The sequence below is a fragment of the Homo sapiens genome, chromosome 22, assembly GCF_000001405.40.
Source record: "Homo sapiens chromosome 22, GRCh38.p14 Primary Assembly".
NCBI lineage: Eukaryota > Metazoa > Chordata > Mammalia > Primates > Hominidae > Homo > Homo sapiens.
This window is the reverse complement of record NC_000022.11, coordinates 17,722,983-17,737,599: the sequence shown is the minus strand read 5'-3', so window position 1 is coordinate 17,737,599 and position 14,617 is coordinate 17,722,983. Positions and strand designations below refer to the sequence as shown.

Here is a 14,617-nt window from a genome sequence, read left to right as displayed (position 1 = left end):
CCAAGGCAGGTGGATCACCTGAGGTCAGGAGTTCCAGACCACCCTGGCCAACAGGGTGAAAGCCCGTCTCTACTAAAATACAAAAATTAGCCGGGCATGGTGGCGCACACCTGTAGTCCCAGCTACTCAGGAGGCTGAGGCAGGAGAACTGCTTGAACCCTGGAGGCAGAGGTTGCAGTGAACTGAGATCGCACCACTGCACTTTAGCCTGGGCGACAGAGCAAGACTCCATCTCAAAAAAAAGGTGTAATGTGAACCAAAACGAGTAGTCAAAAAAGGGGGGGAACTGTCTGAAATCTTTTCCAGAGCACATCTGTCCCATAACCAGGTATTACAAGTCACAGTCTAAAGGCTGGGCATGGTGGCTCAAGCCTGTAATCCCAGCGATTTGGGAAGCAGAAGCAGTGGGATTGCTTGAGGCCAGGAGTTTGAGACAAAACTGAGCAACATGGCGAGACCCTGTCTCTAAAAAATTTATAAAAATAATTAGCTGAGGGCCAGGCGCGGTGGCTCACGCCTGTAATCCCAGCACTTTGGGAGGCCAAGGCAGGCGGATCATGAAGTCAGGAGTTCAAGACCAGCCTGGCCAAGATGGTGAAACCCCGTTTCTACTAAAAATACAAAAAAAATTAGCTGGGTGTGGTGGCGGGCGCCTGTAATCCCAGCTACTCAGGAGGCTAAGGCAGGAGAATCGCTTGAACCCTGGTGGCAGAGGTTGCAGTGAGCCGCAATCACGCCACTGCACTCCAGCCTGGATGATGGGGTAAGACTGTCTCAAAAAAAAAAAAAATTAGCTGAGCATGGTGGCGTACGCCTGTAGTTCACGCCGTCATGGAGGTTGAGGCAGCTCCTCAGGAGGCTGGGGCAGAAGGATCTCTTTGCTTGAGCCCAGGAGTTCAAGGCTGCAGTGAGCTGATTGTGCCACTGCACTCCAGCCTGAACAAAAACAAGACCTGTCTCTAAAAACAAACATACAGTGTTCACAATGCTGCCCAAGAAGGGCCAGTTTTTGCAGCTGCCCCCATGTAGCAAAATCTGGTGCTTCTGTTTCATAGACCCAAATGGAAATTAAGTGGATGTGTCTTATTTGTAAATTTAAAAATATTAGCGAATGTTTGGGAATTTTTTTTTTTTTTTTTTTTGAGACAGAATTTTGCTCTTGTTGCCCAGGCTGGAGTGCAATGGCACGATCTCAGCTCACCACAACCTCTGCCTCCCAGGTTCAAGCGATTCTCCTGCCTCAGCCCCCCAAGAAGCTGGGATTACAGGCACACACCACCATGACCGGCTAATTTTGTATTTTTAGTAGAGATGAGGTTTCTCCCATGTTAGGCTGGTCTCGAACTCCCAACCTCAGGTGATCCGCCCACCTCGGCCTCCCAAAGTGCTGGGATTACAGGCGTGAGCCACTGCGCCCGGCCTAATGTTTGGGATTTTATGACATGTCAGAAGCATTACTTCAGGCTTTGGTTTTTAAGTAAAATAGCATCTAATCCTCTACTGAGAACTCATAAGAAAACATTCCTTATATGCTGTGGTCTTCAGTTATACAAGCATTTTAAAAACAGGAGAATGAATATAAATCTTAAATCAGGCATTAAACCCAGCTGAATTGTTGGAAGGAGGTAAGCCTGAGACCATTCCTGGACAGCTTTTACCAACACCCATGTAAAGGGGGAAAGGGTGGGCAAGACGTGTGCAGCAGTCTGTATGGACAGCTTACCAGAGACTGAGGGCTGAGGCAGAATCGTGATTCCTCTGACCCAGCAGGGGCCTCCTGACACCGTCAGTGCCTTGGAGATGTGAATACCCACCTCACCGCCTGAACGGCCTGTTTTTGCAGTTGCCCCCATGTAGCAAAAAGTAGGATGCACGGATAGGACTTCAGGGGTCTGGAGAACATGTTTTTGCATAAACCCCAGCTTTGCTCTACTGTGGCACAGAGCTCTGGAGCCTGGTTTGTGAATGAGCCTAGCTGATTCTGGCTTTTTCTCCTTTCTTGCTCTAGGGGATGGACTGAACGGACAGTTCCAGAAGTGTGACTGGCTAAAGCTCGATGTGGTCACAGCTGTATAGCTGCTTCCAGTGTAGACGGAGCCCTGGCATGTCAACAGCGTTCCTAGAGAAGACAGGCTGGAAGATAGCTGTGACTTCTATTTTAAAGACAATGTTAAACTTATAACCCACTTTAAAATATCTACATTAATATACTTGAATGAAAATGTCCATTTACACGTATTTGAATGGCCTTCATATCATCCACACATGAATCTGCACATCTGTAAATCTACACACGGTGCCTTTATTTCCACTGTGCAGGTTCCCACTTAAAAATTAAATTGGAAAGCAGGTTTCAAGGAAGTAGAAACAAAATACAATTTTTTTGGTAAAAAAAAATTACTGTTTATTAAAGTACAACCATAGAGGATGGTCTTACAGCAGGCAGTATCCTGTTTGAGGAAAGCAAGAATCAGAGAAGGAACATACCCCTTACAAATGAAAAATTCCACTCAAAATAGGGACTATCTATCTTAATACTAAGGAACCAACAATCTTCCTGTTTAAAAAACCACATGGCACAGAGATTCTGAACTAAAGTGCTGCACTCAAATGATGGGAAGTCCGGCCCCAGTACACAGGGGCTTGACTTTTTCAACTTCGTTTCCTTTGTTGGAGTCAAAAAGAACCACTTGTGGTTCTAAAAGGTGTGAAGGTGATTTAAGGGCCCAGGTCAGCCACTGTTTGTTTACAAAATCAGGTAACTAACTGCATACACTTTTTCTCTTTCCATGACATCAAGACTTTGCTAAAGACATGAAGCCACGGGTGCCAGAAGCTACTGCGATGCCCCGGGAGTTAGCCCCCTGGTAATAGCTGTAAACTTCCAATTTCTAGCCATACGCTCAGCTCATCCATGCCTCAGAAGTGCATCTGGAGAGAACAGGTTTCTAAGCATAAAAGATGAAAGAGCAGTTGGACTTTTTAAAAATTCAGCAAAGTGGTTCCCTCTCTTAGGGACAGTCAAAACCAAGTCACTTAGGTAGTACCAAAATAAATAAGGAAAAGCTTAGCTTTAGAAACAGTGCAACACTGGTCTGCTGTTCCAGTGGTAAGCTATGTCCCAGGAATCAGTTTAAAAGCACGACAGTGGATGCTGGGTCCATATCACACACATTGCTGTGAACAGGAAACTCCTGTGACCACAACATGAGGCCACTGGAGACGCATATGAGTAAGGGCACTGACGGACTCATGATTTCTTCTTACCAGATGCTTTCCTGTTCTTTAAGAGTTTAAAATCATCAGAAAGGAAAAACAAACTCTATATTGTTCAGCATGCAATACATACCACGCTAGGGCTGGCTCAATTGAAAGTGGGCAAAAGCTTACAAATACTAAAAAGAAGTGCTGCCGCGCAGTGTGGAGGCCACTGTTTGGAAATAAATCTTCCTAACACTACGACTTTTCATGTTTTGGAGTGGACTTTTAAAAAAGTTTTCCAACCACAATGGAAACAGGTTGAACCACACTGCGCCTACACATCCATCCATACGTCAGCCATTATAATCAGATTCTCACTGGGGGAGGCATTTTCTTCCCAAAGGAGCTGTATGCAGTCATCACCCGGAACTAATGGGAAAGTGTTCTTAAGCAGCAAGTGACTCTGGACCACCTCTCTCACACACTGACTCTTCCACAGCATCTTCACCTGCTTCTGTTTCACTTGAATTCATACAGTAGGCCACCATTTTATAACAGGTCTTAGTGTAAATTCTTCCAGACCAAGTCTGAGATAGTCTTGGTTGTAAAGCAAGACCGTCACCCCTTCTCCCAAAGCCAACATTATAAAAAGATTCCATTGTCTCAAACACAAATGTTCCAGTCTTGAGCACTTCCCAGCCATGGTGACTCGGGCATATCCTGGCAGTTGGTGGATTTTGCCCTGTAACACAATCCTTGTGGATATGATTCAAAGGTGACTTTAATTCAGAGAATGTGTTTTCCTTTCTGTTTTAAAAATATTTGAATTAAGTGATGGAAATTCTTTTGTTAAACATCAAAAGCTTTCTCCTTGAAAAGATGCTTGGTGTATCTGAAAGTCACGTGGGACATTTGGTGCATTCAGAAGGTCAAATCATTCCTGACCTCTCCTCTTAGGACCCAGCATTAACTGCTGCGATACTCAAGGCTTCCTTAAAGGATCACAGCACTGGCGCCTAGTTTTACTGTCCAGCAACTTTATTAGTTGTGCTAGCTGAGAATTGGAATATAGAGTCCTTTGAATGTTACGATCTTGTTTTCAAAACCTGGAGTCAAACCAATTAAGTATGGACTTAACAAAGACAATTGATGATGTGAAATGATACCACCTGTCAAGGGCATAGTTACCATGTGGATAGAAAGATGAGTCCACTGATTATCTTCAAATCCCATGTATTCTCTCTAGCACGTTGCTTCTGACAGAAAGAATAACTCACAGATTTGAAGTTTGTTCCTTTCCCCTGATGAAGAGTAGATTGGCCAAAAGGTAGATGACAGGAAGGAAGAGGAGCCAGAATGACCCACAGTGATCAGTTCAGCAGTGCAGAGCGGCAGTGCAGAGGCTCATGGAACTCACACGGAAAAAGGAAACACATGCTGCTTAAAATGCACGATAACTTAATTATCCAAATTACCATTCAATTCCGGTATTTTTGAGATGAAAGCATTTGAGCCAACACTAAATTGACCTTAATTAAGGAATGAGGTAGGAAGAGGCACTTTTAATCTGGAGGAAGAAATAAATGGAAGACTGTAATAGGAAAAATACAGGTCTAGGAAAAAAATAATTTTTTTCCTTTGATGCTGGCCAAGGACCCCTCTACATAATACAGTTCTCCTGCTGGAAAGCATCAGGGCAAACAGAGTTATTCCAAACTCTGCAACAGGGAAGACTGTACTTTGACCTTCTTTTCCTGGGGAAAGGGAACAACTAGTAATCTTTAAATGTCAAAACTTTTCTTCTAAATAGTACATTCATTAACCAGTTTCTTCTGGTGGTGCAAAGAACACTCACCACAGTGAGCAATACCACTATTCAATTTCCCCTTTGGAGAGGTGACAGCGGGGTAGAATCACCTGGAGTCAGCTGCTAGTCTTTAACTGATGACAAGGCCTTGCAAATACCCCTGAGAACAATTTCACTCTGAGCTCACAGGGAAGCAGCAGTCTGGTGTGGGCTCCTGTGGTGTAACCATCAAATGTGGAAGACCTGATGGTGTTAGTGTGTGGGGATGCCGGGCTGAAATTCAACAGCCTTGCAAAAAGAAAGGGAAGATGGGATGTGTTAATATTGTAGTGGCATGCACTTTCCAGCTCTCCATGGAGCTCTCTTTATATATGAGGTAATTGAATGTCACTATTCTGTACCATACAGCAGGTATTATCTAGCCAAGGTTATAATTACCATGAAGTGCTGTGGAATGTAGTAGGAGGCTTTTCACTGGGAAGATCCTCCAGGAGCTGACGTACTTGTGGCCATACCTGGTCAACCCTCCTAAGTCCCCAACCTCTTTGTCTGTCCAGAGGCCAAGCAATGCTTCCAGGTATTCCCCTACTTCACTCCACAGCCCCACCCTTATGATGGCATACACAGGGGAGAAGGGACGAACTCGAACAAACAGAAAAAGACCAAGAAATGCATCGTGGTGCTGTCTTCACCCCCCTCATTTAGCACTTTGTGATAACTGCTGGGACAGATTGCCTAACCTTGTCTACAAGCAAAAATATTTAATCAAGAAAGCTAATGAAAGCTCATCGGCAATGACTGTGAATTCTGTAACCACAAAGCATCTCACTCAATGTCTACAGGGAAAACAGCTACATAATTGGAAGCTGAGACCAGTCCTGGACCTAACCCTCACTCTTGTTTTTTTGTAGTAGAACATGCTTAATGTTTAAGTGAGCCTATATGGTGCCTTTGTACAAATTAGAAAAATACTTCGCTTCTCCCAGAGCCCACAGCATGGTGAGCAGAGCACAGGCTGCACGTCGGAATTTGTCCCCAGTCAGTCCTTATGCAGTAAACAACTGGCGCAACTGTTTGCAGGGGACCTGCCAATACTGCTTTGCAGTGCCAGGAAAATGATAAAAACCGGCAAAATCATTGCCTTGCCTCGCCTATGCTTGAGGACGTTAGAAAAACTAACTCTGGGCCGGGCACGGTGGCTCACGCCTGTAATCCCAGCACTTTGGGAGGCCAAGGCGGGTGGATCACGAGGTCAGGAGATCGAGCCCATCCTGGCTAACATAGTAGAGACCCTGTCTCTACTAAAAATACAAAAAAAGCAGCCGGGTATGGTGGCGGGCGCCTGTAGTCCCAGCTACTTGGGAGGCTGAGGCAGGAGAATGGCGTGAGCCCGGGAAGCGGAGCTTGCAGTGAGCCGAGATTGTGCCACTGCACTCCAGCCTGGGCGACAGAGCAAGGCTCTGTCTCAAAAAAAAAAAAAAAAAAAAAAAAGGAAAAAGAAAAACTAACAAACTCTGATTAGGTTCTTCATTCTGTAATATGGGAATAAAAGGAATACAAACAGCTATTAGAACTGTGAAGGTGAAATAAGGTATGTGAGAGCACTAGAACCGTCTCTGGCATGTTATAAATGCTCAACTAGTATTTGCTAAAATATAATTATCGACATGAATTTTTTTTAGGAAAAATTATACACCCTAAACTCAAATGAATGTCATAATTGAGAGATTATCACTAAGGGCAGGTTTTGGTGCACCAGAGAAGAGGAAACATTATTCTGGTATCCAGTATGTCGCTGAGATGTTAAACGAGATAATGCTTGTGTGGGAATTTGGGCAGAAGCTCTAGGTCGTGTCTGTTAGCAATCAGATAGCCTACAAGGCCGTCTTGATGGGTATGATCACCACCTCAAATTCTTGGAAAGATAAGTTTGTGTGGAAAGATGTAAGAAATTAAGAGAAAGGGAAAATTCTTAGCTACAAAACGTTTTATTTCTATAAAACATCTCTTAAAATAATTCAAACACTGAAATGTCCACATCTCATACCTTTCAGGAGAAAGGCAAGGAGACTACTTGCCTTACTGTCATATTATTGAGGGAATCAGCGCAAAGCCTGAGGAAATGAACAGTAGCTGTGGGTCAAAGCCATGTCTCCAGGTTCACGGCTCACTCCCCCAGGACAAGCCTAGTTAGGTAGTGGCTGCATCTGGTATCCCTGGGACAGAAATGCAGGTGAGAAGGGGTATCAAGAATGCCTCGAGGGGGAGATGGGTGAACCAGAAGGTCAACAGTTGCATTTCTTCATCTAGAATGTTCTCTAGAAGGGAATGATGATCATGAGAGTCCCCTTAAGGCACACCGCAGGTACTGACTGATTTCTGTGGGCCCAGAATTATCACTTTAATACAGAGAGGATAAATTGGCGTTGTTTTTTCCCCCCAATAAATCATTACCTTCAACAGAGCAGTTGAGATGAGGTCTAAGGACTAACAAGAACTTTTCTATAAACAAGTTGGATTTATTCTGAATCTTTCCTTCACCTTAGACTTAGAGGGTATAAGTTGGAGGTGGAAGGAATGGCCTCCTACTATCAGCTCCTCCCCCCAAAAGGAGGGGAAGCTTGAGAAATAGTTTTTTAAATGTATGAGCAAAAAGCAGGAGCTGCAGTAGGAAGCAGTCCTCATGAGGGCTGTTCCCTTCCACTGCTGGAGGCAGAGGGTGAGGACGTGAAGGAAGAACAGGGATGCTGCCACATCCTGTTAACTCAGGAGCTGACCAAGAGCTACCAGAGAAAGCCAATGGAAAACACTATCTAGTTCCATTACCGTGAAATACAACTGGCCAAATCACTGTGGAGGAATGTCTAACAGGTGGGAAAATAAAGCAGCAAGTAGCCGCTTCCATACCACATTTCTTCCTTATTCTTTCCTTTCGTGGGCAACACAGGCTCCAATTTCCTAAGCCTCACACCTCCTTTCAGCAGCTCAGAGATGAACCTGGCTTCGATTGGTGCTTGAATGCGCTCAGCCAATGGGTGTGAGGATCCAGAACTGGCAAGTGTTAATACTGGAACTCATAGGATTTATTACTTTTTAAAAATCAAGATAACGCACCAGTTTGCTCTTCACCTATGCAAACACAAATATAGCAATTAGAATACAGAACAATCAATGCAACTATCAGAGCCCATGAAGAAAAAAATCATTGCCTCAATAATCCCATTCCCCCCACTCACCTCTAATTACTTAATCCAAGTACACAAAAACCCTTAAAACATCACTCCCTAAATGGGACACTAAAACACAGAACAAAGACACGCTACAGGATAAAGCTGGAAAGACACACAAACATACTCCCAGACCTTGTTTTGACCAATTTTTAAATATTGCTTTAGGGAGATTTTATTTGAAAACATAAATTTCAAAAAGAAAGCACATTTAAAACATCAGGTTTTGGTGATCAGGGTAGGTAAAGTATTTTTATTATAAATTTCAAGATCTAAAAAATAATTTATTACATTTACTAAGATAAATCTAAGATGACCTTTTTAAACCAAGCCACGTGTGCCCTGCATAGTGACGTCGTGGCCCTCGGGCATGGAAAGACACGGGTCTGCCCTTCCTTTAGGGCTGGAAAGACACGGGTCTACCCTTCCTTTAGGGCTGGAAAGACACGGGTCTACCCTTCCTTTAGGGCTGGGATCAGCCAGAGGAAAGAAAATTATGCCGATGCTCAACTAGCATATACTGATTAGGACTATTTTGGTTTATTACCCTGGCATTGAAGAATTCAGGTGAAGATGCCACCACTCTTGAACTCTGAAAGCCAAACTAGAATCTGCAGAGCAGCCTCAGTCTTAAAATTCAAGCTTCTTTTTCCTACTTTTTATTTCAGTGATATTTAGGACACTCTCTATTTCATAAGAATTATGATCTAACTGGCTCTATAAGCCCAAGAATAAAAATCCTTACCCCCTAGCAAGAGACCCATAGAACTCATCAGTAGTAAGACTAAGGTCCCATATTGGAAAAAATATACTAGCCCAAGGTTATAGACAGGGACCATCCAGCAATAGAGATGTTGCTGGCAAGTAACCATGGTGGTGGGTGACCACTAGCGAAAAGGGCTGAAGAGACCTCAGAAGGTCATCCAGGTTATCCTCCTGCCTTGACACAAGACACATGTGTCTCTCTAGCCAGAGTTACTTGCAGTTGCACTCACAAGTGGGGACCCCAGGTCTCCTTCATGTGATTTTCTCTGTGTACATATTTCGAAGATTCCCAAAGGCAGCATTTTTACAAGGTGGAGCTGCAGGAAGCTTCGGGGACTTGACAGACTGAGTCCAGAGCAAGCCCTCGCCCGTGGGATCTTAGCAGGAACCTGGGGGTGAAGAGGAACAGTGCAGTCCCTGAGAGGCAGCTGAGAGTACGGGCGAGCACCCTCACACTCCAGGATGAGGGCGGGGGGCAAAAAAAGAGTGGGTGCAGAGCCTGCTCATCGAGAAAGATGAAATTCTAAGGGGATTAAGAGCTAAGAAGTCAGTAGCTGAGGAGCCCACAGCTAAGTTCTCTCAGCTGGGAATTTCTATCCCAATTCTTCCTAAGTAAACCCTCTCTCGCTAAAGCAGTGGGTCTCAATAGGGGATGTTCACACGGGACATTTGGCAATGTCTAGAGACATTTTCGTTTGTCATCTCTGGGAGGGGGTGCCACTGGCATCTAGTGGGTGGAGCCCACCACACACAGGACAGCCCCAACACAGAGAATGGTCAGAACAGCACTAGTGCCAAGGCTGAGAAACCCGGTCCTGGAGGGGGTGCTTTACCCCTAAGATTCTCAATTTAGCATGAGCGGAGGCCCTTGGGATTTACAGTCAGATGAATGTGAATGCCCCACCTCAAGCCCTAACATGCCTAACATGCCACTGCCATGTTGAGCAGAAGTCCCCAATTATCCCAGAGTGTTCCACAAATGTCCAGACAGCTGCTGGAGGTTCAAATTCCAGCCAATACAACTCCAACCTTACATCCTTCTGTCTTTCTCTTCTGAAAAGCCTCCTATTTCTTTCTCAGAGCCAGGGCTACCCCGATGGCCACTGCCAGGATGGCAACAGCAGCAGCCCCTCCAAACAGCAGTATAGACTTGCCCTCAGACAGCGGCATGGGCTTCATCTCACCGGCGGGGGACAGTCTAGACTTGCCCTCAGACGGCGGCACGGGCTTCTTCTCGCTGGCAGGGGACAGCTCTTCCACAAGGCTCTCTTCCCTTGCGTTTATCTCCTTCTCACTCAGCAGCGTTTCTGTGGGTTCCAGTGCGGGGACCACCTCCTCCACTTCAGTAGGTTCAGTTGTTGCTGCTTTCACCTCTTCTTCATCAAGTTCTACAAACAGAGATGTAGCAGGGCTGGATTTCTCAACTGTGATCACTTCTGTGTCAGGTTCCCTTGTCCCCAGCAGGGAGGTGGCAGTGATATGTGGAAGCAAGGGAGCTGGGGCTTCAGGAAGTGCCTCTTGCAGCTCCCGCGCTGGCAAGACCACAGAAGCCACAGCAGCCTCTTCCATGCCCTCGGGCACCTCTTCTTTCTCCACGTGCACAATGTCAGAATTAGAGGAGTTGTTCTCACTCTTCTCTCCAGCTCCGTTGCTGTCTAAGCTTTTCACTTCTTCAGGATCCATTGCAATCTGCTGCCAGGACTCAGGGCCTAGTGACACTGGCAGGCTTTCTGTGTGCCAACTCTGGCTAGCTGACAGTGACACAGGTAAGCTCTCAGACTGCCAGGAAGTGGTCACAGTTGGAGACTCTGGGGGACTGACTTGTCCAGAGTTGTCGCTGGGCAGGATGTAAATGTCATTGCTATCTTCTGCAGTGATTCCAGGGTATTCCTCCTCCTCTGACTCAAGACTAAACACAGTGCCCTAGAAACGAAGGACAAGCGTCAATAATAAAGAATGGTAACTATTTAAAACATAAACATCAATCTGGAAAGCAAATTCTTTCCTAAACTGAAGTTCTAGGAATGAAACACTGTTTAAACCTACATAGTTTCCGAATGGAATGCATGTATTTGTAGGCCAATGCAGAGAAAGAATTTTTGACAGTCTTCTGAGCAGTCTCCTTGAAACTAAAAAATCCTAAGTTAATATACATTCAGTGTAATTCACACACAGGCTGAGAGCATCCTAATCTGAAAACCTGAAATCTGAAATGATCCAAAATCTGAGGTTTTTTTTTTTTTTTTTTTAAGATGGAGTCTTGCTCTGTCTCCCAGGCTAGAGTGCAGTGGCACAATCTCAGCTCACTGCAACCTCCGCGTCCCAGGTTCAAGCGATTCTCCTGCTTCGGCCTTCCCAGTAGCTGCAATTATAGGCACCTGCCACCACGCCCAGTTAACTTTTGTATTGTTAGTAGAGATGGGGTTTCACCATGTTGGCCAGGCTGGTCTGGAACTCCTGACCTTCAGTGATCCACCCGCCTTGGCCTCCCAAAAGTGCTGGGATTACAGGCGTGAGCCACTGTGCCCGGCCCAAAATCCGAAACTTTTTGAGTGCTGAAATGACATCACAAGTGGAAAATTCCACACTTGACCTCATGTGGTGGGTTGCAGGCAAAACACAGTCAAAAATCTGCTTCATGCACACAAAATATTATATATATTTATGTTATAAATATTGTATATTTGTAAATTAATATATTAATATTATATAAAATTACCTTCACGCTATATGTATAAGGTGCATACAAAAAGAAGTAAATGTCATGTTTGGGCTTTCCCATCCCCAAGACATCTCATCACATACACACAAACATTCCAAAATCAAAAAAAAAAAAATTAAAATCCAAAACACTTCTGATCCCAAGCACTTTGGATAAGGGATACTCACCCTGTATGTTCAATGCAGTAATTAATGCAAAACAGCAGAGAAAACAAAGGCAAGACCTTGTGCTCAAGGAATTTATCACTTAGTAGGGTATACAAATAATGCTATGTCATAGTCCAAGTGCCATTAAGAGTTCATATGGCAGTGTTGCTTTCCTTAGAAGAAGAAGAAAAAAAGTTCAGATGGGAAAAAGACCTCTTTGGGTAGAGGTCAGAGAAAGCAGGGAGATCACAGAAAGCCTCACGGAGGGACTAGCATTTCTATCAGACATCTGAAGAATGGGTAAGATTTTGGCAGGCGAAGGGTACACAGAAGACACAATGCAGGCAAAAGCACAGAGACAGAAAAAAAAGAAGATAAGGACAGAGCCCTGTTTAATTAATGCAGAGTGCCCATGAAGAATAGAAGGTCAGTGAGGACAGGACCATGGAGGAACCTGAATGACAGCTAAGAAATATGGACTTTATCCAACAGGCGATGGTTTGTCACTGACATCTCTGAGGTACAAAATTATAATCAGAGCTTTGCTTTAAAATTCCTCTGATGGCAGAGACAGAATGGAGAAATGCTGCAGACACGGAGACTCTTGCTTCTTTTGTCAGGAAGTCTGAGTGAAAGCAATAAAGCCCTACAGCACAGGCCTTGTGTCCATGTCTATTAATAACAGGCCACCGTGTGCCTACTGCTTATCAGGGTTGTGTCAGGCACAAGGGCTACGAGAAAGAATGGGTCTATTCTTACAGAATTTACTAGGCAGCTGTGAAGCCTGACATATGAATAACTAACTTCAATATGATACAGAAAGCTTTATGACAGGTGTATGCACAAGGGGCTAGGCCAACCCAGAGGGTAAGGCGCAATAAAAGGACAGGAAGAGAACCAATGGAATGGAATGTCACAGAGATGTACAGAAATTGTCATACAAAGGCTAGACAACACTCGTAAAAGCTACAGGGAATCTGAATGGAATATGTAAAGCAAATTAATTTCTACTTCATTTTATGATTATGGTTGCTATTCAACTGAAGTAGGATAATTTCATTCTTCAACCAAAACCAAAAACTTTCTACATACATCAAGGATCTAACATAAATCAAAAGTCTATCAGCCCCATAAAAAAGGAAATAAGAAATACAAATAAATCACACGACCATGATGTCGGCATCATACTGCACCACTTTCTACCTCGACCCTTGCTCCAGCCACTTCAGAGGCCCTGGTAAGCATCAAGGATGTTCTATGAGTATGGAATAATCAGGGGGTTAAAATAATACAGTATGACCACAAAATTCACAGTCAAAAACAACTGGCTTGTATCCCAGCTCCAACTGTGTACCAGCTGTGCGAATCTGGATACCTTGCTTAAACTTTTAGACTTCAATTTCTTCACAAATAAAATGGGGATGACTGACTAGATAAGATTGTTTTTGTTGTATTTTTAGAGTTGGGGTCTCGCTCTGTCACACAGGCTGAAGTGCAGTGGCAGGATCACAGCTCACTGCAGCCTCAACCTTCTGGTCCCAAGGGATCCTCTAGCCTCAGCCTCCTGAGTAGCTGGGAATAACAGCATGGGCCACTGCACTCAGCTAAGTTTTTTTATTTTTTGTAGAGACGGGTCTCTCTATGTTGCCCAGGCTGGTCTCAAACTCCTGGCTTCAAGCAATTCTCCCACCTCAGTGTCCCAAAGTGCTGAGATTATAGGTGTGAGCCACCACACCTGGACTTGAGTTCATTTTTAAAATGAGGTATAGTTTGTTTTTTGTTTTTTTTTGTTTTTTTTTTGAGACGGAGTCTCACTCTGTCATCAGGCTGGAGTGCAGTGGTGCAATCTTGGCTCACTGCAACCTCCGTCTCCCAGGTTCAAGTGATTCTCCTGCCTCAGCCTCCCGAGTAGCTGGAACTACAGGTGCACGCCACCATGCCCAGCTAATACTTGTATTTTTAGTAGAGACGGGGTTTCACCATGTTGGCCAGGATGGTCTCAATCTCTTGACCTCGTGATCCACCTACCTCGGCCTCCCAAAGTGCTGGGATTACAGGCGTGAGACACCGCGCCCGGCCCGAGGTATAGTATTTATAGTGCTTAGATTAGTACTTTGTACATAGGAAGTAATCAGTAAGTTATGCTATTTCATAACTTGCTATTGTTTGTGTTGTCATTTTAATTGTTGTTTTTGGTGGTATGGTGGTAGGACAAAGAGCTATTCTAAAATACCAACTGGATGGGACAATAAGGAAGTGAAAACAAATGGAAACAATACCCTCCCTTGGCTAAAGAAGGTAATTTACAAACTTTTCCTTCCTCCTCCATCTCTTCTAAGCAGAGATAACACAAAACTGTAAAGTAAAATCTGTCTTTAAAAATTACAGTACTGCAGTATACAATTAGGAAAATTGGAGGGCCCATTGGCTTGGAAGAGAGGGCTTCTAGGCCTCCCAGCTTTTGAGGATGACAGCTTGCCCCAGCCTCAGGGTAAGGACCACTGGAATGGTCCAGAAGAGGATGCATTCAGGAGAGGGAGAAAGAGAGAGGGAGAGAGGGAGAGGGACAGATAGAGAGAGACACAGGGAGGGTTTGGTTCAGCTAAGTAAGCAAAGACATGGAGATCCTAACCGGAAGCTGTAATCAGGTCTCAAGCTTACACATTTTGCAAGGATTTTCATTAGCATCATTTTTAATACAGAAGGATTTCAAACAGTCTTCAATACCCTCAGGAAAGTTTAAAAATAT

General features: G+C 44.4%; 2 protein-coding genes across 28 annotated transcripts in view; one reads left to right on the top strand and one right to left on the bottom strand.

Moving 5' to 3' along the window:
- BID (BH3 interacting domain death agonist) overlaps positions 1-3,462 on the top strand; it is a 40,528-nt gene extending 37,066 nt beyond the window's left edge. For 5 of the 7 annotated variants that reach the window (NM_001244567.1, NM_001244570.1, NM_197967.2 and 2 more), the window contains one exon: positions 2,009-3,460. In NM_001244567.1, the coding sequence (NP_001231496.1) occupies positions 2,009-2,020 (12 nt within the window). In that variant the 3' untranslated portion in view covers positions 2,021-3,460. Of the gene's footprint in view, positions 1-2,008 lie in introns of all 7 variants that reach the window. The other 2 variants (NM_001196.4, NM_197966.3) reach the window with 1 other exon arrangement.
- A 3,282-nt stretch (positions 3,463-6,744) lies between these two features.
- Positions 6,745-14,617, bottom strand: part of BCL2L13 (BCL2 like 13) — a 101,979-nt gene continuing 94,106 nt past the window's right edge. For all 21 annotated transcript variants that reach the window (NR_073068.1, NR_073069.1, XM_047441286.1 and 18 more), the window contains one exon: positions 6,745-10,923. Coding sequence is in view for 19 of the 21 variants with exons in the window: in XM_047441286.1 (XP_047297242.1) it covers positions 10,066-10,923 (858 nt within the window). In the remaining 2 variants the exon portion in view is untranslated. The remainder of the gene's footprint in view (positions 10,924-14,617) is intronic.